Source organism: Homo sapiens, chromosome 5, assembly GCF_000001405.40.
Source record: "Homo sapiens chromosome 5, GRCh38.p14 Primary Assembly".
Taxonomy (NCBI): Eukaryota; Metazoa; Chordata; class Mammalia; order Primates; family Hominidae; genus Homo; species Homo sapiens.
Window position 1 is genome coordinate 3,574,796 of NC_000005.10, and position 27,543 is coordinate 3,602,338.

General features: G+C 51.5%; 1 protein-coding gene across 1 annotated transcript, besides 4 other annotated features; it reads left to right on the plus strand.

Moving 5' to 3' along the window:
* Positions 20,740 to 21,034: a silencer, noted in NCBI's record as "tiled region #3294; HepG2 Repressive DNase matched - State 9:DNaseU". NCBI's record gives its function as "represses a minimal TATA promoter and a strong SV40 promoter by Sharpr-MPRA in HepG2 cells {active_cell/tissue: HepG2}" and the evidence as "EXISTENCE:reporter gene assay evidence [ECO:0000049][PMID:27701403]".
* Positions 21,037 to 26,608, plus strand: IRX1 (iroquois homeobox 1). Its single transcript, NM_024337.4, has 4 exons — positions 21,037 to 21,586; positions 24,430 to 25,465; positions 25,814 to 25,886; positions 26,188 to 26,608. The coding sequence occupies exons 1-4, from the start codon at positions 21,311 to 21,313 to the stop codon at positions 26,243 to 26,245; spliced, it is 1,443 nt and encodes a 480-aa protein (NP_077313.3). The 5' UTR covers positions 21,037 to 21,310; the 3' UTR covers positions 26,246 to 26,608.
* Positions 23,900 to 24,562: an enhancer, noted in NCBI's record as "H3K4me1 hESC enhancer chr5:3598809-3599471 (GRCh37/hg19 assembly coordinates)". NCBI's record gives its function as "activates a minimal SCP1, AML or CMV promoter by ChIP-STARR-seq in naive H9 embryonic stem cells {active_cell/tissue: H9 hESC(naive)}" and the evidence as "EXISTENCE:reporter gene assay evidence [ECO:0000049][PMID:30033119]".
* Positions 24,563 to 25,224: an enhancer, noted in NCBI's record as "H3K27ac-H3K4me1 hESC enhancer chr5:3599472-3600133 (GRCh37/hg19 assembly coordinates)". NCBI's record gives its function as "activates a minimal SCP1, AML or CMV promoter by ChIP-STARR-seq in naive H9 embryonic stem cells {active_cell/tissue: H9 hESC(naive)}" and the evidence as "EXISTENCE:reporter gene assay evidence [ECO:0000049][PMID:30033119]".
* Positions 25,888 to 26,548: an enhancer, noted in NCBI's record as "H3K4me1 hESC enhancer chr5:3600797-3601457 (GRCh37/hg19 assembly coordinates)". NCBI's record gives its function as "activates a minimal SCP1, AML or CMV promoter by ChIP-STARR-seq in primed H9 embryonic stem cells {active_cell/tissue: H9 hESC(primed)}" and the evidence as "EXISTENCE:reporter gene assay evidence [ECO:0000049][PMID:30033119]".

Sequence of the window (27,543 nt, forward strand, 5' to 3'; positions counted from 1 at the left end):
GTCAAGGGGCTGGTCCCACCACCCTCATGTGGGACTGGCTAGAGCTCAGGATGTCAATGGGCTGATCCCACTGCCTCATGTGGGACTGGCTGGAGCCGCTGCCAATTTTCTAGGGCCTTACTCTGACCATCTTCACATCATCACATGGAAACCCAGGGTGTTCTCTCCCTCCCCTCTCCCTAGGGTGCCCCCAGGCTGTGGTCTGCATGGGCCGTGGGAAAAGGTCCTGTCCACATGTGCTCACTGACTGTGAGTTTGGCTAAGACCTTCCCCAACAAGAGCCAGAAGCTCCAGGTGTTAAGCCCTATAGTGGGTTGAACAATGCCCCCTAAAGGTACATCCACAGCCCAAGCCCTGGCACCTGTGGATGCGGCCTCATTCGGAAAAAGGCTCTTTGTAGTAACTAATTTAAGGATCTCAATATGCACAAATTATTACGGATTATCTGGATGGCCCGTAAATCTATTAAGTGTCCTTGCAAGAAACAGGAGAAAAGACACACACACAAAGAAGGTCATGAGCTGAGGAGGTGGAGAGCATATTGATGTGACCACAAGTCCAGGGACACTGGGAGCCACCAGAACCTTGAAGAGAAGGACCCTCCCCTCGAGCCTCCGAAGACAGTGTAGACCTGCCAACAGCGTGATTTCAGACTTCTGACTTCCAGAAGCGTGACAGAACAGACTTCTGTTGTTCCAAGCCACCCAGGTCCTGGTGATTTGTGATAGCAGCTGCAGAATGCGGATCCCAGCCCCTTCCCGCTTTGCTCCTGAGGGCCCTGAGCTGAGGCGTCCTCTGGCTTCGGTGTCGCTGATGGTGTGTAGGAAGCACAGGGACACATCGGCCTCCCAGGTGCCCTCAACCAGGCACTCCAGTCCTCACAAGCAGACACATCTGGGCCTCTGGCAATGGCAGAGACCAGGCTAGGCCCTGACCGTCCACACAGAAGCTTCTAGGAACTCTGGGGAAGGCTGGCAGGCCTCAAGGACACTCATAGAACCAACCCTTCCTCTGGCAATCTTTCATGAAGCAGCTGTTTTATGCAGGGCACTCTGCTTGCCAAAGCTCATCTCAGGAAATTCAGAAGCCCCAAAGTCAGTGAACAGGCTGTTTCAACTTCATAATTGAGCCTTCTGAATGCTGCATCCAAAGCCCAGCCCCATGCCATCTTTGTGGTCATCCCTCAATAAATATCTGTCCAGCGACAGCCTTTTGATCTGTTATGTAACCCTGCTTAAGGAAAACTGTGCATGCCCTTGACAACTTGGGTGCAAAAATCCACAGTGGGAAGTCATTGAGGTTTTCAGTTTTCAACACACGTAAAGGTAATTTAAAAAAAATGATTCTTCACATTATTTTGAGTGTTTTGTAAAGCCCCTGCTACGTTTCTTGTGGTGTTAACTGACCGGCTGAGTTTCTATTTGGGGTCCCGTTGTAGTTAGGTCTTCTCCCCTGGGTCTTGCCTCCTAACTTACTGAATATACTCTGGGTACCGCTGCCCTTAGACATGCCTGGAAGACCCCGTGACTCCAGAATCATCTTATTCCAAAGACCAAACACAGGAAATGGCAGCGCTTTAAGCATAACCCATTTCGTCTTTTTGCTTTTCTATTTATTGATGGTGTTTTGTGAGCAGAAGAAATACAAATATTAGGTAACTAACTATACTGAAAGAAGAATTCCAGAGTATAGGACTCCGTGAATTTTAAAGTAAGACTCAGGAGGATATGTGCCAACGGCAAAGAAACTTGGATGAAGGTAAGACATATTTCAAGTTCTTCCATGTTTTAGCTTCAAGGTATATTGCCCATGATGTACCTAATTTATTCGGTAATAAGATTTCCAGGCGAGTGCTGGGATTGGATGACCAATCTCATGCCATGGCTGAGGCCAGGGCCAACTTGGGTCAGGATAAGCAGGAGGGAAAAGATGGTCTCAGCCGTACTCACCAACCATCCTTGAAAAGGATGCTCTATCTCTGGCCACCATTTCTCATCCTTAGGATTTTATTTGCACCAATCCCATTCCATCTCCAATCTCACTAAAGTTTCTGGAAGGAAATGCAATCAGATTGTGACATAAAGCCATTCAACAAGCAGGCAGACAATGCGGTATACACTACATGCTCTAAAATAAACTCTATTGATGTAATGTTGTTTTGCCCCAAAACTGACCCTTTAAGCATGTGGTCATGGGTAATCAAGGTAACTAACGCTTCCTCCACACCTCCCTGCTGGTCACTCAGCAGACATTGGGAGACACCAAGTAGAGGACATCTGTTCTGCAAACAAAAGTAGCATTCTCATTCATTGGTGATACGGTTTGGATTTGTGTTCGCACCCAAACCCCATGCCAAATTGTAATCTGCAATCTTGGAAGTGGGGCCTGATGGGAGGTGATTAGATCATGGCTGCAAAGTTCTCAAGAATGGTTTGGCACCATCCCTTTGGTGCAACTCTTGTGTTAGCAGTGAGTGAGTTATTGTGAAATCTGGTTGATTAAGAGTGTGTGGCACCTGTCCCCTCAATCTCTCTTGCTCCTGCTCTGGTCCTGTGACCTGCCTGCTTCCCCTTCACCTTCTGCCATGATTGTAAGTTTCCCAAGGCCTTCCCAGAACCCAAGCAAGCAGATGCCAACATCATGCTTCCTCTACAGCCTGTAGAACCATGAACCAATTAAGCCTCTTTTGTTCATAGATTACCCAGTCTCAGGTATTTCTTTATAGTAGTGCAAGAATAGACTAAATATAATTGGCTTTGGTTGAGTGGGCATGGTGGCTCATGCTTCTATTTCCAGCACTTTGGGAGACCAAGATAGGAGGATCATTTGAGGCCAGGAGTTCGAGACCAAACTGGTCAACATAGTAAGACCCCATCTGTCTATATATATGTACACGGATAGATAGATGATAGATAGATAGATAGATAGATAGATAGATAGATAGATAGATAGATCTCTCTCTCTCTCTCTCTCTCTCTCTCTCTCTATATATATATATATATATATATATATATATATAGAGAGAGAGAGAGAGAGAGAGAGATGGGGTCTTACTATGTTGATTCAGGCCCTGGTGGGCACTGAGTGCCAGGCCCATGGCCCCTCTCCCTTGGGCACAGACTCCCAGCCTCCACCTGTCCAAACTGTACAGTCTCTGCATTTCTACCAGCCAGTCTTCGGTGGCCTTGTGGGCAAGTTCGTGGCTCCTCCCTTGGCCATGTCTCCTTCATGCTGCCTGTGCACAGTCCCTTGAGCTACCATTCCACAGGGGTCCATGTCCAGAAGTGCCTGTGGGCCAGGACATTTAGACATGCAGCAGATTGCCCATTGCATGCATTGGCTCCTGTTGCCTTGGTGTTCAGCTTTGACCTCCATGGGGCTGGCCCAGGAGATCAATGCCAGCAGCAAGCATCTCACCCTCCTCAGAAAGTGTCCTGTGCTTATCCTCTTCTTCCCAGGCGGGGCTTCCCAGAGGTGCCCCCTCGGCCCCTGCACCCTTCATACTTTGCCAGGCTTTCCCAGGGGAGTGACAGAGACATGCAGGGTGGACAACCCATTGCAAGTGCTGCGGTGCAGCTTCTACCCCACACAGGCCAGTAGTTCCCACACCAGGAGTTTCCATCCCAGGGAGGTTCATGCCCTGAAGATCTCAGGTGAGCTCACCCCTGGACAGTCACAAAGAAGGCTTATGGATACTCTCCCAAATCAGAAGCCTTAAAAGCAAACACCCTAGAGAGACTCTTACACAGAGACACAAAAAGGCATGTGCACAGCCAGCTCCTGCAGCACCACGTACACTTGTTACTAATTAGAAACCATTTAAGTGTCCTTTATGAAGCAGGTAATTAGATAAACTACAGCACACTCATGCCCTGCAATCCTGAGCAACAGTTTTTAAAACACGGGGAAAATCTATATGTGCTGACATTAAAAAAACAGGCAAGATATTGTTCAGAGAAAAAAACTCGGGTTCCAGCCAAACATCATGTCTTCCAGGGCTACCTACAAGAGGGTGACATTTTACCATAGAAACTCCATGGGGGCTGGCGAAGGAGGTCCTTGTAACTGAAGGTGGGCGAGGGGCCAAAGCCCATCAGGCTGGGAGGGGCAGCATGACCTTCAGGCAAAAAGAGGGACAAGGCACGGATAGCATGAGGTCCCAGAAGCCCATGTGCTGGGCAGCCCAGCTGGAAAAGGACTACCCTGGAATAGACTGGAGCTAGGTCAGAAAAGTGGACAGAAACCAAATCAACAATTAGGAATCATTTATGCCTTTGCTTAGAATTTTGGACGTACTTTCTAGATGATGGAGAAAAACTTGATAACTATTATCTTGATGAGAATAATTTGGTTAGTTTATCAAGTACAAAGATCATATTTAAGTATAATGGAAGGTACATGAAAATGGAACCAGACTTAAGGCAGAGAGATCTTTTAGGGAATAATGACAATAGCCCAGTCTGTTCACGATGTCAGTTTAAGTAAAAGGATGCTACCATGTAGGGTGACCATATAATTTATTGTCCAACCCAAGAAAACCTAAAAAAATGAAATATGGTAGCCAGAGAGACATTGGGACAGAAGGCATAAATTGGGAATGTCCCAGGTAAACTGGAATGTATGATCATCCCAGTAATAGGCGACAAAGAAGAGAAACACTGGGATGATATCCATACAGTAACATATTGCCTGATATCTCCATGAAAGCAGGAGCACATCTCCTTTTCTGTTCATCATTTACCATTTATCTCCAGAGCTGCTCCATTACCAGGAACATCATGGCGCTCAATAAATAACCTTTGAATAAATGGATGTTGAAGAAGACAGAATTGAAGATGGACAACTTATTCACACCTTGGGATCCCCAGAGTGCAAATAAGATTTTCCGAGGAGGGTGCCTGGGCTGAGGAGAGGGGAAAAACAGAATGTATGACAGCATGGAAGTTAGGAAGTAGGCAAAGAAGAAATTAAGGGAAAGTTAGATGGAGAAGGAGTGACCAGAGAGATAAAAGAACACTTTAGAAGGGGTTGTATCAGTGACGGTGGGTGTCAGAGCCACAGCCACTGAAGCTTGACTTAGAAGTCTGCAGCAGAATGGAATGAGGTCCCTTGGGTTGCAGGATCAAACTGCTTCGAGCACTCTATTTCATGGAATATGTTCCTTCAACCCCCAGAATCCCAATCACCTCAAGTGCTTATTTAAAATTCAGATGTTGGAACCAATCCTGCACTTAATGAATCCGAATATCTCTGAGCAAGGTCCAGGAATTTTAACATGTTTTCTGAGGGACTCTGAAGTTTTAGAATCCTAGGGTAATATATGGCCTTTCCACTTGGATTTTGAAGACCAAGGAATAAAAGATGGGCTTAGAAAGGAGAAGACAATTCTGGGCTGAGAACTGTGGGTTGTAAAAGTGAAAGCAATAAATAGGAATAAACAATAGATCTGGGCAGATGCCAACCACACATTTCACCAAGAACACTCCTCTCATGTGAAGAAAACGTGGACAAGATTAAAATAAACTTTCTAGGAGATGAGGAGAATAGATCCACAGTTGCTAATTCCTTCAAGCTTCACTTGATGTATTTTAGCCATGAACATGAAGACATATGATATGTATGGAGATGAAGTCTTCATTCTCTTGTGAAGATGAAACTCAGGATATTTTAGTAGAGTAATAAAATAAAGGTAACTCTGATTGCAAAATGACTAGTGCACGCGAGAATGAAAGAGTGATAAAAATAATGATTATTCAAGGCCCTGGTAATAACCCAGATAGGCAACTCTAAGGGCTTGAACTTGGGAGGGATGAACATGATCTCAAAGATGCTTTTGAGATAGGCTTGGCAGATCATAGTAAACAGATGTAGGCAGCATGTAAAAAGGGAAGTAAAACAGGCTCCTGGGCTGCAGGAGAAAGCATTCACTGAGGTGGATGATGGGAGGATGTGGAGGGGAGGGGTGAAAGGTGATTCATCTGGGCAAGAAAGTAGGACACATGGTAATCAGGCATTTGGAAATTTTCACAGATGCACCTTTCTGGTGTCAGGCAGGGTGATGGTTACTTTTATGTGTCAACTTTGCAGGGACACAGGGTGCCCAGATTAAACATTACTGCTGGATGTGTCTGGAAGGGCGTTTTAGGGGAGATCACCATGTGAGTCAATGGAGTAGATTGCCCCCCCCCCACACCCCAAGATGACAGGTGTCATCCAATCCCCTGAGGGTCCGGAAAGAGCAAACACAGAGGAGGAAAACAATGAACGCTTTTGCTTCCTGGCTGCCTGCTGGAGCTGAGACATAGATCTTCTCCTGCCCATGGACTAGGATTTGCACCGTGGACTCTCCTGGTTCTCAGACCTTTAGACTCAGCCTAGAATTATACCATGGGGTTTTGTGGGTCTCCAACAAATCATGGGATTTCTTATCTTCCATAATCGCACGAATCCATTCATCATAACAAATTGCTTTTTATATATAAGTGTGTGTGTGTGCATGCGTGCATGTGTGTATACACACACACACGATTGGCTCTGTTTATCTGGAGAACCCTAATACAGTTTGTAAGAAGCGGGGGTTTCCTCTGGTGGGTTAGCTCAATGTCAAAAAGGGAAGATGTAATTTAAGGGGCAAAAAGAATTTTTAGAACATCAACAACAATCAAATTCTTGAAATAAACAAATTTCTGTTACAAACTTGCAGGGTTTCCACTTATTAGAGAATGAGTCGCGAGGAGTAGGGTTTTATCCTTGTGTCATGATAGATATTCCCAGGCATGGACAGATAAACCTACACAAACACAGAGTTCTACAAAATCATTTCCCTTCTGTTAAGACTTACAATCATCATGGAGGGAAGAACGTTAAGGCTAGTGTTTCACTACAGCTTCTTTTATTTAACTAATTACATAACCTGGTTACATAGTGACATAGTTAAGTTAGGGGCAAGCTACCCAGAAATTGACTACAGACTTGATGAGGATTTAGACTATGCCACTGTTTAGAGAACTGCAGCAGGAGCACCTTCCCGTCCTTCCTCTACACAGATGAAATTGACGTGACTACTGGAAGCATGGCAGAGTGTATTTCCAAGCGAAGATTCCAAGGGGCATTGAGAAAAAGTTCTTAATTGGCATTGAGTTGGAGCTGCACGCAGATGATAATCAATGAGATGTTTTTCACAGATTGTGCATGTGTGGCACTAGCAAGGAAACCATGGAGATAGGAACATGTTTTGTTCCTGTGATATCTAATTATTCCTCCTGTACATGACTATGATGAGTTTTGTGATATAACTCAGGAGGAGCGTCATTGTACTTTATAGGCACCGTATTTGTCCTCCCCCATGAAGAAACTATTAACACAGACTTTGTGATACAGCATGAATGTTTTGATGCCAAGGGAAGGCTTGCAAATAAATTATTTTCATCAGTGTTAATAGTAATAATAGTGGTAATTACCATTACTCGAAAGTATTATTTTCCTTGTTAATTTCTGTCATTCCAGATTACTGTTTAATTTAACATTTCATATATCGTAAAGAATCAAACAAATGCTTAACATTTCTGTAATGAGGGATGTGGGCACATACTCTGCACATGTGCAGATGGCCGCTGAATCTGCCCTTGGAAAGGAGATGTGCTAATTAATGTGCTGTATTTCCCAAACAATCAGAGGTGTATGCATCATCAAATCAGTTGAAGACATTAGAATCGAACTCTAACAGTCATATACTTCAGTGATTTTTCAATTCACATTTAGGCAAAGAAAAACTTTGTTCAAACAAAACCTTATCTGGAAATTTGATATGTAAAACAAGGAAATTGGAGCTGTTCTGTTTAAAGGACAAGGAGAAATGTTCCTAGTGTCCTCCCAAATTGGACTTCTCTCACCACACCGTCCCACTCCATGTGGTTTCTGAGCTTCCAATAACATTGGTGGGGTTAAGATCATGTTTTGCTGCCCCTGAGCCAACCATCTTCCTCATCAATTCATAGAAGTATCTGAGTGCCAGGGGACAGAGATGTCCCTTATGCACCAGCAGATGATGGGGCCAACGATTCTCAATCCTGGGCTGGCTCTTCACTCCCACTGTGCATGAACATCAGCAGCAATGCAGAATCATCTTTGCTGATAGTGTTTCCACCCTGCAGATATGACCTCGATCAGTCTCGTAATCATCCTCTGACACATTAAATCCTGTCCTGCTCCTCTTCAGACACCTTTGATAACTCCCCCTGCTCAGAGGATAAAGCCCAGACTCATTCATATGCGACTGAAATCCCTTAAATGAGACCTCGGTGTCCTTGACTGCATCCTTGATCAAGTCCACGCCACAGCCTCACCTACTGCTCACTGGTCCCTGAGACGTTTTCTGAGATGATGGAATCCCCTTAACTCATATTCTCTATCAAAATCCTTGTCGCCTTCCAAAGCCTGGTCCAAATGGCAGGTCATTGTACTCTTTCCTCATTGACAGAATGAGTCATGTCCTCCTTTGACCCCTGAAGTCCACAGCTCTGCTATCACTGAGGGTCTAGCTAGGGGACAGAAACTCTGAATTATTTGGAGAGAGAAAAAAATTCTTAACTAGATATGGGTATGGGTTTAATTGCATGTTCCTAAAATTGATGTGAAAGTCCTCATCCTCAGTATCTCAGACCTTATTCAAAAATTGAATTGCTGAACATGTAAGTAGTTAAAGTGAGGTCACACTGGAGTAGGGTGGGCCCCCAATCTAATATGGCTAATGACCTTATAAGAAGGGGATATTTGAGCACAGAGAGCCCAGAGGAAAAATGCCTCCATCTGAAGCTGAAGGCAGAGATTGGGGTGAGGCATCTGCAAGTCCAGGAACACCGGAACTGCCAGTACACCCTCAGCTACTGGCAGAGAACATGGCTTTGAGATCTTTGAGCTCTTCCCTCACAGCCCTCTGAGGAACCCACTCTGCTGCCACCTTGAACTTGGACCTCCAGCCTCTGGAACTGCCAGGCAATAAGTTTCTGTTGTTTAGGTTCCCTGTCTTGGCACTTTGTTACAACTGCCCTAGCAAATGAAGACATTATGATGGATTTTCAACAAGTTAGCAGAAAACCCAAAGAGCCAACATGAAGTTATGACAGAGGCAATGCGGGAAGCAGCTGCCACCCCTTAGCTAGGGGACAAGGGAGAGCAGGCAGATGGATTGGAGGAGCGCAGAGGCTGAAACTCAGGCCTCTAAGACGAACAGAGGCTGGGCTGGTATGGTGTTGTCTGAGGGAATCTGACGGTCTGGCTTGGTAAGTGCTGGACACCTGGACCACTGGACTAGTTGCTGCCTGGTGAAGTCAGGTGACCGAGCTGATGTGGAGAGTAACAGGAAGTGACCTGGGCAGGAGGGGTGAGGCCGCTGTGGAGAAGTGCGTTTAGCAGAGCCTGGCATTGTGCAGCAGAATGTAGAAGGGGGGCTGGCAACTCGGAGATGGACATGTCATAATGGCATATCCCTCCTAGCACTTACTTTTGCCTTATAGAAAAATTAGGCGTCTGTATGTGTTTCACCTAATTGTCTAATTTAGACATGTAACACAGATATTCAGACAACTGTCTAATTGATTTCAGTTTCTCCCAGAGCACAAGATACTGTCTATTCCTTATAGTGGTTCCATAAAGCCTTCAGGGAATAAACGAACAAAGGGAAAAGGAGGAAGGAAGGAGAGAGGGGGGACAAGAGGAAAGAAGGAGGGAGGCAGGACAGGAGGAAGGAAGGAAGAGAAATGGGAGGAAAGAACGGAGGGAGGAGGGATGGGAGGAAGGAAGGAAGGAGGAAAGACAGGAAGAAGGAAGGAGTGAGGAGGGACAGGAGTAAGGAAAGAGGGAGGCGGGGCAGGAGGAAGGAAGAGAAATGGGAGGAAGAAAGGAGTGAGGAGGGATGGGAGGAAGGAAGGAGGCAGAGGGATGGGAGGAAGGAAGAAAGAAGGAAGGAAAGAGGGAGGCAGGACAGGAGAAAGGAAGGAAGAGAAATGGGAGGAAGGAAGGAGGAATGAAAGGAAGAAGGGGGGAGGGACAGGAGGAAGGAAAAAGGGACACAGGACAGAAGGAAGGAAGAGAAATGGGAGAAAGGAAGGAGGGAGGAGGGATGGGAGGAAGGAAGGAAGAAGGACAGGAGGAAGGAAGGAGGGAGGAGGGATAGGAGGAAGTGAGGAGGATGAGGAAGGAAAGAGGGAGGCAGGACAGGAGAAAGGAAGGAAGAGAAATGGGAGAAAGGAAGGAAGAAGGAGGGACAGGAGGAGGAAAAGAGGGAGGAGGGACAAGAGGAAGGAAGGAGGGAGGAGGGACAGGAGGAAGGAAAGAGGGAGGCGGGAAGGAAGGAAGGAAGGAAGAGAAATGGGAGGAAGGAAGGAGGGAGGAGGGATGGGAGGATGGAAGGAGGGAGGAAACAGCAGTCAGGCACTGGTAACAGCTGTGCTGGTGATGGCCCTGTAACATGATGAGCTGCCCCTAGAAGTGCAGAGAGCAGGGGACTGTCACAGGGTCTGGGAGAAGACAGTGTGGGAAGGGTGACATCATGAGATCAACAAGTCTGTCAGTCCCGGGCCCAGTGGGCGGGCTGTTGAAGGAGGTGCTGAGGTTCTAATCCTGGATTTATTAAACACTTGCTGAGCGACCTTCGACAAACCACTTAACTCAACCCTAGAGATAATGTCACACAGTCCTCAGTTTGTAAAATGATCACTGATCCTTTGCCACTGCTATCACAGCCACAGTGGCAATGTATCTGCTGGCAGTGAGGCACAGCAGCTGATAAAACACAAGGGGGCTCGAATGTTGTGTTTTTATGGCAGTTTTTTCTTGCCTAATGTACATACGGTAAGCCACGACCTTGGGACCCAAGCATATTCACTTGACGGGCTACTAAAGGTTTCCTCTTTTGCAAAATCTAGAGATGGGGCTTAACTGACAGCTTTGAAATATGCGTGGCAGAAATGACATCGAGATAGCACAATTGGCACATCTATTGTATGGAGTAAAAGCAGCACGCTGGCCTCCTTGGTTTATGAAGACATCCTACCAGCTAGCTGACTACCCTGGAGTCAAGAAGGAAGAAGTAGAAGTAGCTCGGAGCCCAGGATCAAATTCATTTTCTAAAATCGAAGCCCCTTCTTGTCTAGAGAGTCTATAAGCCAGACAAAATTCAGAAGTCTTTTTACACAGGAATACGCTGTATCAGGGTGGCAAATTTAACCTTTGATAATAACCAATATTGGAAATTTTTAATATATGGAATAATATAATTCTCCTAAACATGACATATTTTTATTTTATTTAACACTGAAGAGGGGAAACTCTAGAGCTTTTTCTAAGACCTTTTGCCCCAAAGCTAAAGAATATATTGCAGTGTGAGCAATGAACATACCCAGCTAATGAACTCTGGTGTTGATTGCGTGGGAGAGGCATAGGTGATCATGGATTGTAGTGGGAAAGTATAGGTGATCATGGATGGTAGTGTGAAGGTATAGGTGATTATAGATGGTAGTGGGAAGGTGTAGGTGATCATGGATGGTAGTGGGAATGTGTAGGTGATTATAGATTATAGTGGGAAGGTATAGGTGATTATAGATGGTAGTGGGAAGGTGTAGGTGATCATAGATGGTAATGGGAAGGTATAGGTGATCATGGATGGTAGTGGGAGAGGTATAGGTGATTATAGATTGTAGTGGGAAGGTATAGGTGATCATAGATGGTAGTGGGAAGGTGTAGGTGATCATGGGTGGTAGTGGGAAGGTATAGGTAATTATAGATGGTAGTGGGAAGGTATAGGTGATCATGGATGGTAGTGGGAGAGGTATAGGTGATTATAGATGGTAGTGGGAAGGTGTAGGTGATTATAGATGGTAGTGGGAAGGTATAGGTTATTATAGATGGTAGTGGGAAGGTGTAGGTAATTATAGAAGGTAGTGGGAAGGTATAGGTGATTATCGATGGTAGTGGGAGAAGTATAGGTGGTCATGCATGGTAGCGGGAGAGGTATAGGTGATTATAGATGGTAGTGGGAAGGTGTAGGTGATCATGGGTGGTAGTGGGAGAGGTATAGGTGTTCATGGATGGTATAATAGGCTGAATCATGCTCCGCCCCATCCCCAAATTCATACATTGAAGCCCTAATCCTCAGTACACCATAATGCCAGTGCATTTGGAGGCAGGGCTTTTAAAGAGGTGATCAAGGTAAAACGAGGCCATTAGAATGGACTTCTGTCCAATTGAACTGGTGTCCCTTCAAAAGGAGGAAATTTGGACACATAGAAAGACACCAGGGATGCCCATGCACCGAGTGGCCAGGAGGCGACACAACAAGAGGCTGCTGGGCCACCTCTAAGCGAGGGAGAGAACACAGAAGGAACCAACCTTGCCAACAACTTAGCCTTGGACTCTTAAGCTCCAGAGCAGGGAGAAGACGAACGTCTGCTATTGAAGCCCCCGGTCCCTGGGACTTTGCTTCAGCACTCCCAGCCAAGGCACACAGGTGGACAGGATTCTGCAGCCTCTCTCAAACCTGGCTCTACCATCAGCAGCATCTGAGAAGGAAATCACTGACAAGGGGGATGCAGAAGTCCTCCTTCCCCCAAAGAGTGATTGGGAAGGAAGCTGCTTCTCCCCTAAACCTCCAGCAAAAGTGTGGGTGTCCCCTAGGAGCTTTGGGTGACTGCTCTATGGCCCCTTATTAAAATGTAGATGTTCTCTCTGCAGGAGATTAAGCTAACCTATCCCTGTCAATTAACAAATATCCTAGGTCATATTAGAATCTTTGATTCGTCTGCCAGTCCCTCAGTTTATTCCCAAGAGAATGGACCACAGGCCCCATCAATCTTCACTGGAGGTGGCGGGAGCCCAAAAATGGGTCATAGGTGGCATTGAAGGTCAACCCAGGCAGCCTGCCATCAGCATGAGGACCTTTAGGGCGGGCTCTAAAATAGGGGGGTTTGGGAAGGGCATCTGGAGGAATGCAGAGGACTGAGAAGAGGAACTTCCCGATCTGGGGATTTTGCCTAGATTGGGCTCCTCTTGGTCACAGGTGTATTATGTTCTAGGGGCTAAATTCCCCACTGGAAATGTGTCTGGGAGAAGAAAATGTTTCCTCTTCTTCCTCTCTTCTCTTCCACCCCCATGGTATTTTCACCTTTCACAAGCATGCATGCACTCACACAGCACCCAAAGCTGGTGTAAGATTGGAAGGTCCGGAGGCCTTTCTTCATGTCCTACAAAAGAGAGGATGGGAGTGGTGGGGGCCTGGCTAAGAACCCCAGACTAGGGTACAGCTCTGGAGATGATGTTGGGTGACAGTTATGTAAGAGGCAAAGTCAGAGCAAGAACAGATATGGGACCCATGGTTCAAGGGATATTTTAAGTTTTCCTCCTTAGACTCATTTCATACCCCAGATTTTTCTATAACAGTGGTCTTGGAATATGCTGGTAGACTGTAAGTGTCTTCAGAACTTCCCAGAAACTTTCCCTGAACTTCCAATGTCTGTTAGGCTTTGAGACACTACGCTGTGCTGTTGAGCTGGTGTCCCTAAAGTCTGATGAACAGATTTTAACCTATGGGCCCAGGAGGTCTGCTGTTGCACACGTTCATTAAAAACCTGAAATGTGCTATGCTTTCTGCTTGGGAGGTGTTTTTTGGGCATATATTTGTCAGTGGATTTTTAAAGAGATTTGTAGTAGGTGGGCTTTTATCTTTAATAATGTATAAGTGGTTGAGGGCTGATATGAAGTCATTGGAGACAGAACACTGGTCTAAATTTTAAATATTTTTGAAACATCAAACACAAATACACCATTTAGTACTTTCCCCTGCTTCCATCACACACATATAAATCCTTTGAGGGTTTTACCCTGAAATCTTCTCTGGATTTGCTCAGCTCTGGGAAATGTATTTTCCTTTCTAAGCTAGTATCTTACTTCCTCTCTGGTCGTTACTGTCTGTTGTTATTGGGAAGAATATGTGAAGTAAATTGATAAATAAGTTTTAAGTATGCATCCATGTAGATCTGGTTCTTTGAATGAGACATGCTACTATAACCATAATTGAATGTAATTAAGTGGATAGTATATTTTAACCACTATTGGTTGTTAGAACATCAATTTCAAAATGCACAGTTATGATAAGAGTCAGGAATTCTAAAAAGAAATAAAAAGTCAATCATTTTTATCAACTTGTTGCATTTTCTAAACCCCTTCCTACTTGATTGAACACTATACTAATAATATTTGATATTTATCTGACAATAGTTCATGAGCTTACAATTAAAAAAATTATTTGATTATTGAAATATTAATGAAAATGACAGTGGAATTCAACCAAGTTGATTTGAGTTCTTCTTATTTCCTATCTTCTTTTCAGGAAGAGGGTGAAATGCTCTCTGCCCCCTCCCTAAACCCCTATGTAAGTTTCCCTGCTGGCATTTCATCATGCAGCAGTGATAGAAAATTCTTAAAGTTGCATTAGATGCACCAGTTGTTGGCATTGTGTGGAGACAAATTACCTTTGGAGCCTCTCAAAAGTTGTCATGGCTTGGAGTTAGTGGTTCTTGCTTTTGGAAACCAAGAGGAAATGAGGTTGCTCCACAGTTTAAGACTTAAGAGTTTAGGTCAAAGTCTGGGATGTGGTACCTCCCATTGCTGTAAGTTAAAACAAACAACAAACAAACAAACAAAACAACAACTCCCTGACAGACTTCTTGTTGGTAGTGTGAATGCCTCAGGGATCAAGAGGAGCTAGGATGGGAGAGGCTCAAGGAGTGCGTGGGACTCGGTGGCTTGACTGGAGTCTTCTGAAGGATGCATTATTTTGTTTTAAACACTTTCATAAAATGAGTTCACTAGTAGAGAACTGTCCTGACTTGCACCAGGAGGGAAAAAATGGCACTGAAAGCAACATGAAATAAGTTTTAAGATAAACTCGACTCACATGACAGTCAAAGGATATTAATTTCCAAAGCGACTTGGGCACACACGTGTACATAACAGGAGCGCACCTCTGTGTGGCCAGGGTCATGCCCACTGCCCTCCGGACTCTACCCACCAGACTGTACCCACCATCTTAGTTTTTGTTGGAGTGTACAGTAACAGTCACATACTCAAAGAGTTAAAATAGAAACCTTACACATGCCTGCTCTTAAACTGTAACGTCCTCGTAACAGAAATTCTTATCGGAGGTCTGCATGGTACTTCGCAAACAAGACGTTCTACCTTTTAAACAAATAATTCATTAGGTAATTAAATTCAAGTGAGATTACTCTAATTAAATATACACTGCTGTTGAATCATAATTTCTATGTGGCCTAGTTAAAGATGAGCTATCTCTTGCTCCTGACAAAAAAAGAAAGCTTTAAAAGAATTCCCCATGGCTGGAAGAACAGATACACACGCGCTCCACAGAGGTCATTTCAAGAAGGCGGAGATGCAAACACAACACGGAGAGGGGATGTCTCCTGTCTAGAGATTCCAGGGCAGTTTCAGCTTAAGGCTGCGGGTTAAGGTTAGCGGGACCCGTTGGGAAGCCACAGTGATCCCAGGGCTCTGGGTCACTGCGGGTGCGGGTGCGGGTGCGGGTGCGCACAGCCAGGGATCCTGGCGGGAGCCACTGCGGTTTCAGCTGCATCCGATAGGCCCCAAGCGGGAGGCGATTCTGAGGCCAGCGCTGGCCCAAAGACCAGAGGACCTGAGCAAAATGAAAAGTCACTTTGTTCCTCACGCCGTGCGCAGCCCGGCCTCCTCTAATGACATTAGGAGCCGCAGCCACGACGGCGCTCACGGGGGCGCAGAAGTCCCGCTGGCTTTGATCCGCGCCTCTCCGCTGCCGAGAGCTGACAGTCGGCTGCGCAGCGGCCCCGCTTTCATTTGTCAGACACGCGTTTGCCGGTGTACCCGCGCAGGCAGCTACACCTGTACTGAGAGAATTTACATCGCCTTGCTTCGGGATGGCATTGATTTGGGACGGGTGAAATACAAACACAAACTAATTAAAAACCGCATAATGGAGCCCTACAGGAACAAGGCAGAAAAACAAATAAATACAAGTGCAGCTGGCACGGCGATGGTGCCTCTGCCCCCGAGCAACCGTCTGGTGACATCAAATAAGAAGCCCTGAGAACTCTCACACCGCTGCTGTTGTTCATATTGGAGGCATAATGGAAATGATCTGGTTAATTAAGGGGAGGTTTATAAAATATTTACGTGTGTGCACACGCATGTAATTCACTTCCTTCGACACTGGGGACGGCGTCGTAGCGGCACTCCAGGCCAGGCCACTGCGGTCCATTCCTCTGCCCTGCGTTTGTGGGAAATACGGGCCCAGTGCCGCAGCTTTAGGGCCTGGGTCGCCCTTGGTCCGCCCGCCGCGTTCCCGGGTGGTGTCCCCACGCTGCTGAGGACCTGGTTCCGCGATGCTTGCCGCGGGGGGCACTCCCCGCAGCCTGCGACCGTCCTGCGTCCTTCGCTTCTGGGCGTTTCCTTCTGGGGTTTCCTTGGAGCGGCTCGAGTCGACTCCTCCCGCCTGCCCAACTCAGCTCCGCTCGCCACTGGGTCCCTGCAGCCCTGCACCCTCGGGGCGCTCATTGTAGACTATTCTTGGTCCCCAGGGGCCACCGGTCCCTGCCTGGCGTGGCAGGAAAGCGCAGACTGGACACAGGGGTCGGAGCCTAGGGAACCATCGAGTCGCAGCGGCCGGACCCACCGGGGGTCTCAACAGCTGAGGACTGTCTGACTATTGCCTCAATGTCGCCGACTTGGGTGGCCTCCCAGCTGCTGCTGAGGGACGGTGCGAAGTCCTAGTGCGTTTTTAAGCAGACTCCTAAGTCTGCGCGCGAGTCGGGGCGCGGCGCCAGGTCAGGCCGCCTCCGTCGCCACCGAGCCGCGGCCCAGCGCAGAGCCCCGCCATCTGGAGCTGACAGTGGCCATTGTGAAGGCAGGAGGCCAGGGCCGCGCCACCCGTTGCATCCCGCGGCAGGTCTGTGTCGCCTGGTTCTCGGCGCCAAAGGCTGGTCCCACAGACGGCTTCCGGGAGTGATGCGTCCCCACGAGCATCCTCCTCTTCCTTAGCGACCCCCGGACTGCAGAGCTTCAAGACCAGCGAACTGTTTCCCAAGAAATAAAATTGTAAATTAGGAAGCTGTTGGGTATGTTTAATCTTGTCCTGATGTAAATATGCCCCAGGAGGGTGGGGCAGGGCGGGTGGAATCCTCACCGAGGGTTGGGAGAGAGAAAAGGGAAACGATCTTCTCCAGGAATAAAAAATCCCTCCCATTTAGAAAACTGACTCATAATAATAATGATAACAACAGCAGCACCTTGCAAGTAAACTTTCCATGAAGCCTTAACACCAGCTTAATCAAGTTAGCTTAAACTGCAGTTGCACACCAACGCCCGTCCCCCTCCACTACCGCCTCTGGGCCTTTCCTCTCCTCCCCGCCCAACCCCCACCCCCACAGCCTGCCCCCTGCGCTCCCCGAGACACGCGCGCTCTCTGCCCATGCCGCTGCAGCCGGAGGCCTGCATCTGTCCCAGCCCTGGACGCGCTGAAGGTCCTAGCTTCCCAGCAGGGGTGTCCCAGTCACCCCCCATTGCCGAGCTTCGCGGGGTCTTGCCAGCCTTCTGGGCCACGTGCCTTGGGTCCCCGGAGCACTGGGGCCCAAGGGCTTCCGGACTGGATCCCCGGCGCTAAGCAGGAGGAGCTCCGATTCCGCTGCGCAGCGACCCCTAGACCTGGTTTTGTCAGGCTCCTCGTCTTTGTCTCTGGCACAGTGACCAGGGGGCAGCCACCGGGTGCGGCCAGCTCCGCCAGGAGCAACTTCCGGAGCAGCGGCAGGGCCTGCCTCAGCCACCCCCTTTGGAGGCAGGAAAAGTGGCTGAGGGGCCAACAAAGTGGCTCTCTCCTGCCTCAGAGGTCCAGCGCCTCACAGCTGGGGCGTCGGTTTCGAAGGCCAAGCAGAGGGAACCACACAACCTCCCATTCCAATGTCCATCGCCTTTGCCTGGCACCCCTAGGGCCACCAGAGGGATGGTCCTAGATGCCAGTGATGCTGAGTCCGGGCAGCGGCAGGGGCAGTCTCTTTGAGGGAAAGTTTTAGACCTTCTCACGACATTTTTAAAAGGACGTTCAAATCAGGCCCACGGATTCCAGACGCACAGCCCTTCTGCCTGCTCCAGCATCTGAGGCCATGAAGCCCTGGGCCCCACTGAAACATTTGCTGCTGAAAATGAGTGGCAGAACGAGTGGGAGGAAACTCTACCAGGAGGGGCTGAGCCAGGAGATTCTAGCTCCTTCTCCGCCCCTCCCCCTCTCTGATGGGATGCTTTGGTGGCAATTCTCTCTCTCTTTCTCTCAGTCTACCCTGCTTCCTAGTATCCTAGGTGAAAGTTTTGGGGACAAGGGCCAAGGAGAAAGAAGAGAGGAGGTGAGTCAGGGCCTGCCAGGCTCTGCTAGAGCTTCCTAGAAAGGACTTCCTAGAATTGGTTTTAGGCGAGGGACCTGGAGTGCAGCCTCAGGCCCTGGCCTTGGGCAGAGAATAGACCACAATCTCCCCTTCTGCACCTTTGCAGGGCTCTCCAGGGAGCAAGTTACCCAGCTTTGCTAGTGCCGCTTCCCCAGGAACTGTGCAGTCCTCAGGCAGGATTCACAGGGGAGTCTCCAGGTGGGGCCCAGCCAGGTCCTCCCCACCCAGCTCCTCCCCACCCAGCTCCCTGGTGTTTTGAGGAGCCTGCAATCACTTTGTGATGTGATGCCAATGGAGGTGATGCAGCCGGGGCACAGAGGAGTGGGCTGGTTGAGTTAGGATGAAGCCTCCACTCCCCTATTCCTGCCTCCCCACAGAGCTCTGCCAGCTGCAGAGAGACCTGAGGCTTGCGGGTGGGGTGGGCGGTGGTGCTCAGTGGGTTGGATGGAGGCAGATAAGCTGTAGCTGAATCCCAAGGCTGAGAAGTGTCCCTGGACTTACATCCCACCTCATTCTCCAGGTCACTCAAGAGGGCGTATCTCCCCTGTCAACCTGAAATGTGACACTGTAGTTTGCTGAACAGGACAGGGGTGGGTGGGACTGGCCCACTTCTCACACAGTGAGTCACAGGCAATGGATGGATTTGTTTTGGGTATAGAGGAGAGGAGGTTGAAGATCGGAAATCTGTCTTAGGGTTAGAAGGTGTCTGGTGGTAGGCTGGGGAACAGGAAAAAGCTGCAGTTAGGGGCTTCCCGGATTTGTGTCACCAAGAATCCACTCCCCACCAACCCTCGGCGTCCCCACAAACCCAGCCCGGAATCTATGTAAAAGCAGGAAAGGAACCCTGGAGGTTGTAGGCGGATCCTGGAGTGTGGAGGGGCGAATTGAGCGCGGGAAGCAGCATGACTAGCAAGACAATCTGACTCAGAGCAGGGAAAAATCAAGCCCGATGTCGGAGCTGGTTATTAGTAATTACTACCATCACGGGCATTATTGTTGCTAATTATAGGCGATGTCTCAGTGTCTGTCCTCAGGCCCGGAAAACCGGAGCCCCTCCTGATGCTGCTGAAGTCCCTGGGCCTCGAGGCTCCGTGAAGAGAGGGAAGCGAGGCAGGGGGTGAAGGGACCGCCTGGCCGGTGTCCAGGATACGGGTGGCTCAAACCACCAGCAGAACAGCATGCCGACTCTGGCCCGATGGCCGCCTTCATCCCGTAGCCCCAACCCGGCCTAAAGCCGAGAAGACGCCAGAGTGCGCTGCTGAAATTCCCGCGGAGTCCGGTGTGCTGGAGAGCCGCAGCGGGGTGAACTCCCGGCCCCGTCTCTGCGTAGGAGGTGGTTCGCAAAGTGGCCCCGGGAGCCGGGACTGGTACCCGGTTCCCCACGGCACCGTCCGGAGCTCTCCAGCCACGAGGCGCAGAAGTGGCCTGCCAGCGCCTTCCCAGGCTCAGGGAGGCGAGGAGGCCCGTGCACTTGGCATCTTCTCCCGGGAGCCGCACGGCCAGGGCCGCGGCGAAACGGAGCCCATCTCAAGTGCGCCGCGCCTGGCCGCGTCCTGTAGCCCGACGAGGCTGAGGATGGAGAGGGGAGACGCAGGGAGAAGAGGGACGCGGGACTTGGACCCAAGAGGCCGCTCCGTTGCCGGTCTGGCGGCGGCGCCGACTCGGGTTCGCGCGTTCCACACAAGTTTCCTGTCTGCCTCTGCACACCTGGTGGACAAACCGGGCGTCCAGGCCACACCGTCTTCCCCCTTCGCGGGGGCGCGGGGGATGTTTCCCTCCGGCTGCCAGGGGGCTTTCTGGGTGAAGAGAAAGCCCCTCCCCCCGCGTCTCCCCCACCCCTCCCTCCGAGAACCCGCGGCGCCGACTGCGCCTGCTTCCCCCGAGCTGGCGACTTCTCCGCGGGATTTGCCCTCGCTCAAAGTTTGCACAATTGAAAGAGCCCGCAGAGCTCGGCCGCTCCCCGCTTCCCCAAGGGCGGCGAGGCCGGTCATTGGCAGACGATCGGTTACTACCCAGTAGGGGCCCACGGGAACCCGCATCTGGAGTCGGGGGTGTCACGCCACGCCGGTTCAGTGGCTCGCGGAGAGCGTCCGGGTGCACTTCTGCCAAAGATGTCCCCTGGAGGCCCCGGCCGCGCGGGACTCGGGGGAGAGGCCGCTCCCCCCTCGCTGTCACCAGCGTCCAGGCCGCCGGCCCCTTCCCCGCTGCCCAAACAGTAGAAAAGCAGGCGCCAAGTTGTTTTTGTTAAAAAGGGGACACACCTCGGCCGCGAAACTGCAAACCCGGTGTCAGACAGCTGTAAACCCGTGTCGACAGGTTGTCAGACAGCTGCGGGGGCTGGTCGGGAAGGAGCCCACGGCCTCCGGGCCCACACCCCGCCGCCCCGACGCGCGCGCCCACCGCGAGAGTAGCTGGCCGGGCCGGCACGGGGCACCACGTGCTCGCGGGAGGGGCGGGAGCGGCCGGCGAGGGCGGGCGGGAGGCAGGGAGGGGGCGGGAGGGGAGCCAGGGGCGGGGCCTGCGCTCAAGGGGATGCCAATCAAAGCATCAACTTCAAATTGTGTCTGAAAGCCCCGCCGCCGAGCGGAGGGCGGCCGCCGCAGTCGGCGCGCGATTGCGGATCCGGGCGCAGCCGGGAGCCGGGCGCCTGCGAGCACCGGGCAGAGGAGCCGCGACCGGCCTCCATCTCCCGGCCCGCCCGAGCGCGCCCGGCCGGCCGCCCGCTCCTCCCTAGACCCCTCGCGGCGCCCCCTGCAACCCCCTCCGGCCGGCCTCCGCCTCCCTCCCCGCGCCTTTAATACTCGCCCGCTGCGGCGGTCGCCGAGTCCGCGGACATGTCCTTCCCGCAGCTGGGCTACCCGCAGTACCTGAGCGCCGCGGGGCCGGGCGCCTACGGCGGCGAGCGCCCGGGGGTGCTGGCCGCGGCCGCTGCGGCGGCTGCCGCCGCCTCGTCGGGCCGACCGGGGGCCGCGGAGCTGGGCGGCGGGGCAGGCGCGGCTGCAGTCACCTCGGTGCTGGGCATGTACGCGGCGGCGGGGCCGTACGCGGGCGCGCCCAACTACAGCGCCTTCCTGCCCTACGCCGCGGATCTCAGCCTCTTCTCGCAGATGGTGAGTGCGCCCGGCCTCCCCCGCTTCTCCTCTGTCTCACCCGCGCCAGGGCAAGGGTGGCGGGTCGCCCGGGAGGGAGAGACTACGGGTGGACCTGGTCCGGAAGAGGAACTAGAAAGGTCCGGGGGCAGGTTCCCGGTGGCCGAGGCCGCGGCCCCCGGGGACGCAAGAGGGCTGGGAGGCCGGGCGGGTGACGGCTGGGCCATCTCGGCCTGGGAAAGCGGAAGGCCCGGGCCAGGGAGCGGGTAGCGAGTGAATTCAGAGAGGCCGCAGAAGCAGGCCCGTGGAGCGGTGCCCGCGCTGGAGGTCGGGGGCAAACTCGCCTGGCTCGGCCAGGGCGCCCGGGCAGGCCCACGGGGTTCCTGCAGGTCGGCCCGGCGTAGCGTAGCAGGACTTCCCTTCCTGGCCGCGGGTTCCACTCGCGCGGCCTCTTTAGTTTTCGAACCGAGTCTGGAAAACTTGGTTTTCTCCCTCTTTAGCAGCTCCGAGATAGTTGTATCCGAGTTTGCCAGACAGACCCCTTCTAAGCCTGGTAGAGTCAATCAAAATAATCTTAACAATAGAGGTCCAAAGGGATGGAGAGGTCTCTCCACGGCGTGAGTGCGAATTTGAGATTAAACAAAAATTAAGTTGCAGTAATGTGCTGGTGTCTGAAACGGTGTTTGATTTTACTTTTGTAAGTTGCCCAAGTTTTCATTTCATTTGCACAGAAAGAAAAGCACTTTTCTTCCTGCGTTACATAATGGAGGATTAAAGAAAACAGTGTCCCTTGGCTTAAAACAAATGGTGTCCTCTTAGTCTCCCGTCCCAGTGGGCGTTAGATGTCGGGGCAGGCGGCTGCACACTTAATTCTCCGCGGGGGCATTGGCCTGTCTGCCGGTCCAAATCATCCATTTTCCTTGGTCTGACTGCAAGGTCGGTGCTTAAACTTCGGACGGCTGGTGAATTGTGCGGCGGGCGCGGGGCCCTGGGAGGCAGCCCCCTCCTGGGTCGCTGCCCGCGGGATAAAGCAATTTCCAAGCACCCGCGATATCTCCCCGCTCCCCGCAGGAGAAGCGGGGAGTAAACGCCCCTCAAGTGTGCACAAGCAAAGAGCGGGTTTCCCTGTAACTTTTCTTGTAGTTTTGAAAGAAAGCGGCCCGGCTGCCTTTCAGGTCTCTTACTATCGAAAAAGATCAGCCCCCATTTTGTTCAGGCGGCGGGGAGGCCGGGACGCGATGAGAGATTTACAAGGTGTCCTTTCAAAAAGAATTCCCAGTGGAGACGAGGCTGAAACGTCTTCTTTACAATTACAACCAAAATAATTAGAAAAGCGCAAAGTACATTTTGGAACGATTGGGCAAAAACGAAATCTAGCCGCAGAAATGTTTTCTCTGCGGCCTCAGTCACCAAACTAATTAGTCCAAGAAATCTTCTGGTCTTTACAACTTTCTCAGAGTCCGGAACTCCCTTTGCTAACATTGCAACTAGACCATTTTTTCAGAGGATGAATATTTTTTACAGAAATTGCGAATGCAGTTGTGTGCCATTTGGGAACCCTGCCTGTGTTTGCGGGGGAGGGAGAGAGCTTCAGTGTGAGGACCTGCACCCTTTGTGGAGAGCTGGGGAAGGGAGATGTTTGCTGTTCTGAGTTGTTTTTCCCACCTAGAGGGATAATATGTAAAAATTATTCCCACCCAAAAGGTGTGTGTTTCTCCAGCTCTCCCACTGGTTCTGAGAGAGTAAACTCAAACCCAAACCCTGATTCTAGGCCTAGGTTTCCAAGCCATTATAATTGGGTGTTTGGAAGTCAAAAGATAAAATTGTATTTGAATGTCTGTCTGCGCAATTTATGGTAATAATGAGGCCTAATGAGGTTGTTAGAAAGATAAAATGTTATTTACCAAAAAACCTGATGGGATAATTTGACTTGCTGTGTTTTACTACTGATTATAAAAAGAATATCGATTGCAAATAAATCAGCGCCTCTAAATGCCTGCAAACAGCTAGTGTTTGCTCCCTCCAGATCAAAGTCAAACTTAAGAGATGAAGTAACTGAGAAGAGGCCTAGGATACTGAACCGGTTCCCCTCCTGGCCGCCGGTGGCTCCCAGCCCTTGCGTTAATATTTTACAGGCTAAGCCTTCCTTTTGTATTAAAAAAAAAAATGGTGTTTTTGTTATTGTTGTCGATGATGGCCGGGATTAAAATTTTAAATTACCTGTCACCTCTAAAGACCTTTTAATGTGGGTAAACCATTATATGCAGATTAATTTGGAAGGCAAAGGACTGTGCTTTCGTTTTAAATTGCTGGCGGATTTAGACCGGTAGAAAACCCGGGATGGTTTATTTTGATTGAGCCCCCTCTGGGTGGCAGAGAGGAGGCTTGGGCTCTGGGCCCTTTACGTTTGGAGAAATGGCTTTATCAGCTCAGTTGAAAGGTTTTTCCCTCTAGCTAGTGAAAGATAAACTTGGAAATGCAGGTTTCTCCAGCGGTTGGTGGTGGGGACAGGGGTCGCCTAGGGAACTTGCAGGGGCCGCGGCCTCTGTTGTGCTCTTCTGGAGAGTGCACTGTTTGTGGAACTTTTCTAGAGTGGCAAAAACGATCTCCACTGTCGGTGAAAGGGCAGTTCCTGAAGTCAGCTCATGGTCCTGGCTCCCCTTCTCCCCAGCAGTGAACTGGGGGTGACTTCCTGATCTGCCCAGCACAGGAGAGCCCCGCAAAGCGCCTGGGAGGCCCTCGAGTCCATTGAAGCGGCTGCTTCCCACTCTCCCGTCTTGGGGACTCATGTCTCTCTCTCTCTCTCCCTTTCTCTCTCCACTTCCCTCCTCTCTCTCCTCGATGGATCTGCCCTGTGGCTTCAGGGCTCGCAGTATGAACTGAAGGACAACCCTGGGGTGCACCCCGCCACCTTCGCAGCCCACACGGCGCCGGCTTATTACCCCTACGGCCAGTTCCAATACGGGGACCCCGGGCGGCCCAAGAACGCCACCCGCGAGAGCACCAGCACGCTCAAGGCCTGGCTCAACGAGCACCGCAAGAATCCCTACCCCACCAAGGGCGAGAAGATCATGCTGGCCATCATCACCAAGATGACCCTCACGCAGGTCTCCACCTGGTTCGCCAACGCGCGCCGGCGCCTCAAGAAGGAGAACAAGGTGACATGGGGAGCGCGCAGCAAGGACCAGGAAGATGGAGCGCTCTTCGGCAGCGACACCGAGGGCGACCCGGAGAAGGCCGAGGACGACGAGGAGATCGACCTGGAAAGCATCGACATTGACAAGATCGACGAGCACGATGGCGACCAGAGCAACGAGGATGACGAGGACAAGGCCGAGGCTCCGCACGCGCCCGCAGCCCCTTCTGCTCTTGCCCGGGACCAAGGCTCGCCGCTGGCAGCAGCCGACGTTCTCAAGCCCCAGGACTCGCCCTTGGGCCTGGCAAAGGAGGCCCCAGAGCCGGGCAGCACGCGCCTGCTGAGCCCCGGCGCTGCAGCGGGCGGCCTGCAGGGTGCGCCGCACGGCAAGCCCAAGATCTGGTCGCTGGCGGAGACAGCCACGAGCCCCGACGGTGCGCCCAAGGCTTCGCCACCACCACCCGCGGGCCACCCCGGCGCGCACGGGCCCTCCGCCGGGGCGCCGCTGCAACACCCCGCCTTCCTGCCTAGCCACGGACTGTACACCTGCCACATCGGCAAGTTCTCCAACTGGACCAACAGCGCATTCCTCGCACAGGGCTCCCTGCTCAACATGCGCTCCTTCCTGGGCGTTGGCGCTCCCCACGCCGCGCCCCATGGCCCTCACCTTCCTGCACCTCCACCACCGCAGCCGCCGGTCGCTATTGCCCCGGGGGCACTCAATGGAGACAAGGCCTCGGTCCGCAGCAGCCCCACGCTCCCAGGTACAGCTCCAGGCCGCGTCCACCTGTCCCCTAGCTGGGAATGCAGAGGCCTGGCTAGGTGTGGTAGCGTGGGGTGCAGCATGAGCCGGGAGGGTACCAGGCAGTGGCCGCTGAGCCCTGGGGCTGCGCTTAATCCCTGCTTCAATTTAGAAAGCCAGACAAGGCCCTAGGGCTCTCCCAAGAGAGCTTTGCCCTACCGGCGGGCCTGCTACGGGGTGGTGGTGGGGTGAGGGGTGACGTTTTTCGGCGAATCTGCCTGGGCAGCCGGCAGAAGTTGGTGGGAAGGAGGCCTGGGACCTCTCCCGCCCGTCTCTCCGTCCTAACTCTGCCTCTTCCGATCTCTCGCAGAGAGAGACCTCGTCCCCAGGCCAGATTCGCCGGCACAGCAGTTAAAGTCGCCCTTCCAGCCGGTACGCGACAAGTGAGTGCTGTTTGCTTTTGCTATGGGAGAAGGCGGTGGGGAGGGGGGAGGAGGAGTGGTCGGGACCCGGGCGGAGCTGGCTGGGTGGCGGTGGGGGTCGCGCAGTCCTAGTTGAAGGAGCGCTCCCCGCCAGCCCTGGGCGCCGGGCGAGCCGAGGAGACTGGAGTTTCTCCCCAGCCGGGAGCCGCGCTGGCTGTCGACCCCGCCCCCAGGGCTCCGCTACTGGAACCGGCGTCGCCCGGCGCTGCGTCCCCCACTCACAGTGCCCCTGTCTTCTTGTCTCGCTGTGTTTCCCATGCAGCTCTCTGGCCCCGCAGGAGGGAACGCCGCGGATCCTAGCAGCCCTCCCGTCCGCCTGATTAAGGGTCTTCTTTTACTTTTGCGGGGGGGAGGGGGGAGGAGTTGGGGAGGGAGGGAATGTGGGAGGAATTAAGACAAATATTTCAGACTGGTGTAAAGGACAAATATGACAACGACGTCAAGGACTCGCATCCGTCGCTTTCTGCAGAAAGGGGCTTCTTCGGTCCCGAGCTCGCGTCCAGGTGGCCAGGCCTCTGCCGGCGGCTCCAGTGGCTGCGATTATCGGGTTCGGTAAATGCCCCCACGTGCTTGTGTCTCTTTCCCCCCTTTTCTGTATATAGAGTGGTTTCAGATTGTAAATAGCGCGTCAGCGAACTTGTCTAAATCATATATTTTTGTCTAATAAACTAAATGAAATGACACCCCCTCCCCGCTCCTGCTGCTGTGTGCCTGTCCAGCGTGTGTGTGAGTGTGTGTTTGTGTGTGAATGTGTGTGTGTGAGTGTCTGTGTGGCAGAAACAGAGACAGAGAGAGAGAAGTGGGGGATACAGGGATCCTGGAACCCTGGGTGGGACCCAAGGGTCTGTGGCTGGGGGAGATGGGCTTCTCAATGGGGGCCTTTAGAGACTGTTGCCACCCAAGACGCAGGTGCTTTAAACATCTCTTCGTTGTTTGTGGTTGTTGTTGAATTTTTAAATATTGTCACTGTGGCAGTTTCTTGCTGGCAGTTCAATTGCTTTCACGAACATTTTTCTGAGACATAATTTTCTCAGGACATAAATAAGTTCAATTTGAGGCAGTTTTACAAAACGATTTTATAACGTCGGTAAAAACAGAGGAAAAAGAATTTTTATTGCGACCCCAGAGGAGAACTTCGGATTAGAAACCAGTTTACAACTAGTTGTCTCAACGGCGCATCGTGGCGCCTGGTCGTTTTCTGAGTTGAGTGTGAAAATAATGGAGTATCGCTTTGCATGTATTTTTAGTGATTCGGTTAAATCAAACACGGGAAGAAATTGGAAGGCTCTTTAAAACTCCACAGATGGGCCAGCCGGGATGCGGTGCGGGGCTTCTCTGCGGTGTGAGGTGTGAACGAGGGGCTGAGGCTGTGGTGGGAAGCGAGAAAGAGGAGGTGGCTTTGGTCTCCCAGGGAAGCCCCTTTACACTTGGGCTCCACGGACTGCGTCCTTTGCCCTCAGGCGCGCGCACCGCGGGAGTCCAGAGCAAATTGCCCTTAGATGGCCGCGGCCGGGCAGCGGGGAGGCAGCTGGGAGCAGCGATGTTGGGAAACACTCGCAGCGGGGCTGGCCTCGGGCGCGCGCGAGTGGGGAAAGGCCTAGGAGCCTGGACATCGCTG

Bases quoted from the DNA above. Each gene is read 5' to 3' on its own strand.
- IRX1 (NM_024337.4), top strand. From the start codon at position 21,311: ATGTCCTTCCCGCAGCTGGGCTACCCGCAGTACCTGAGCGCCGCGGGG. The intron at 25,466-25,813 runs GTACAGCTCCAG...GATCTCTCGCAG, and splicing joins CAGCAGCCCCACGCTCCCAG to AGAGAGACCTCGTCCCCAGG. The intron at 25,887-26,187 runs GTGAGTGCTGTT...TTTCCCATGCAG, and splicing joins TTCCAGCCGGTACGCGACAA to CTCTCTGGCCCCGCAGGAGG.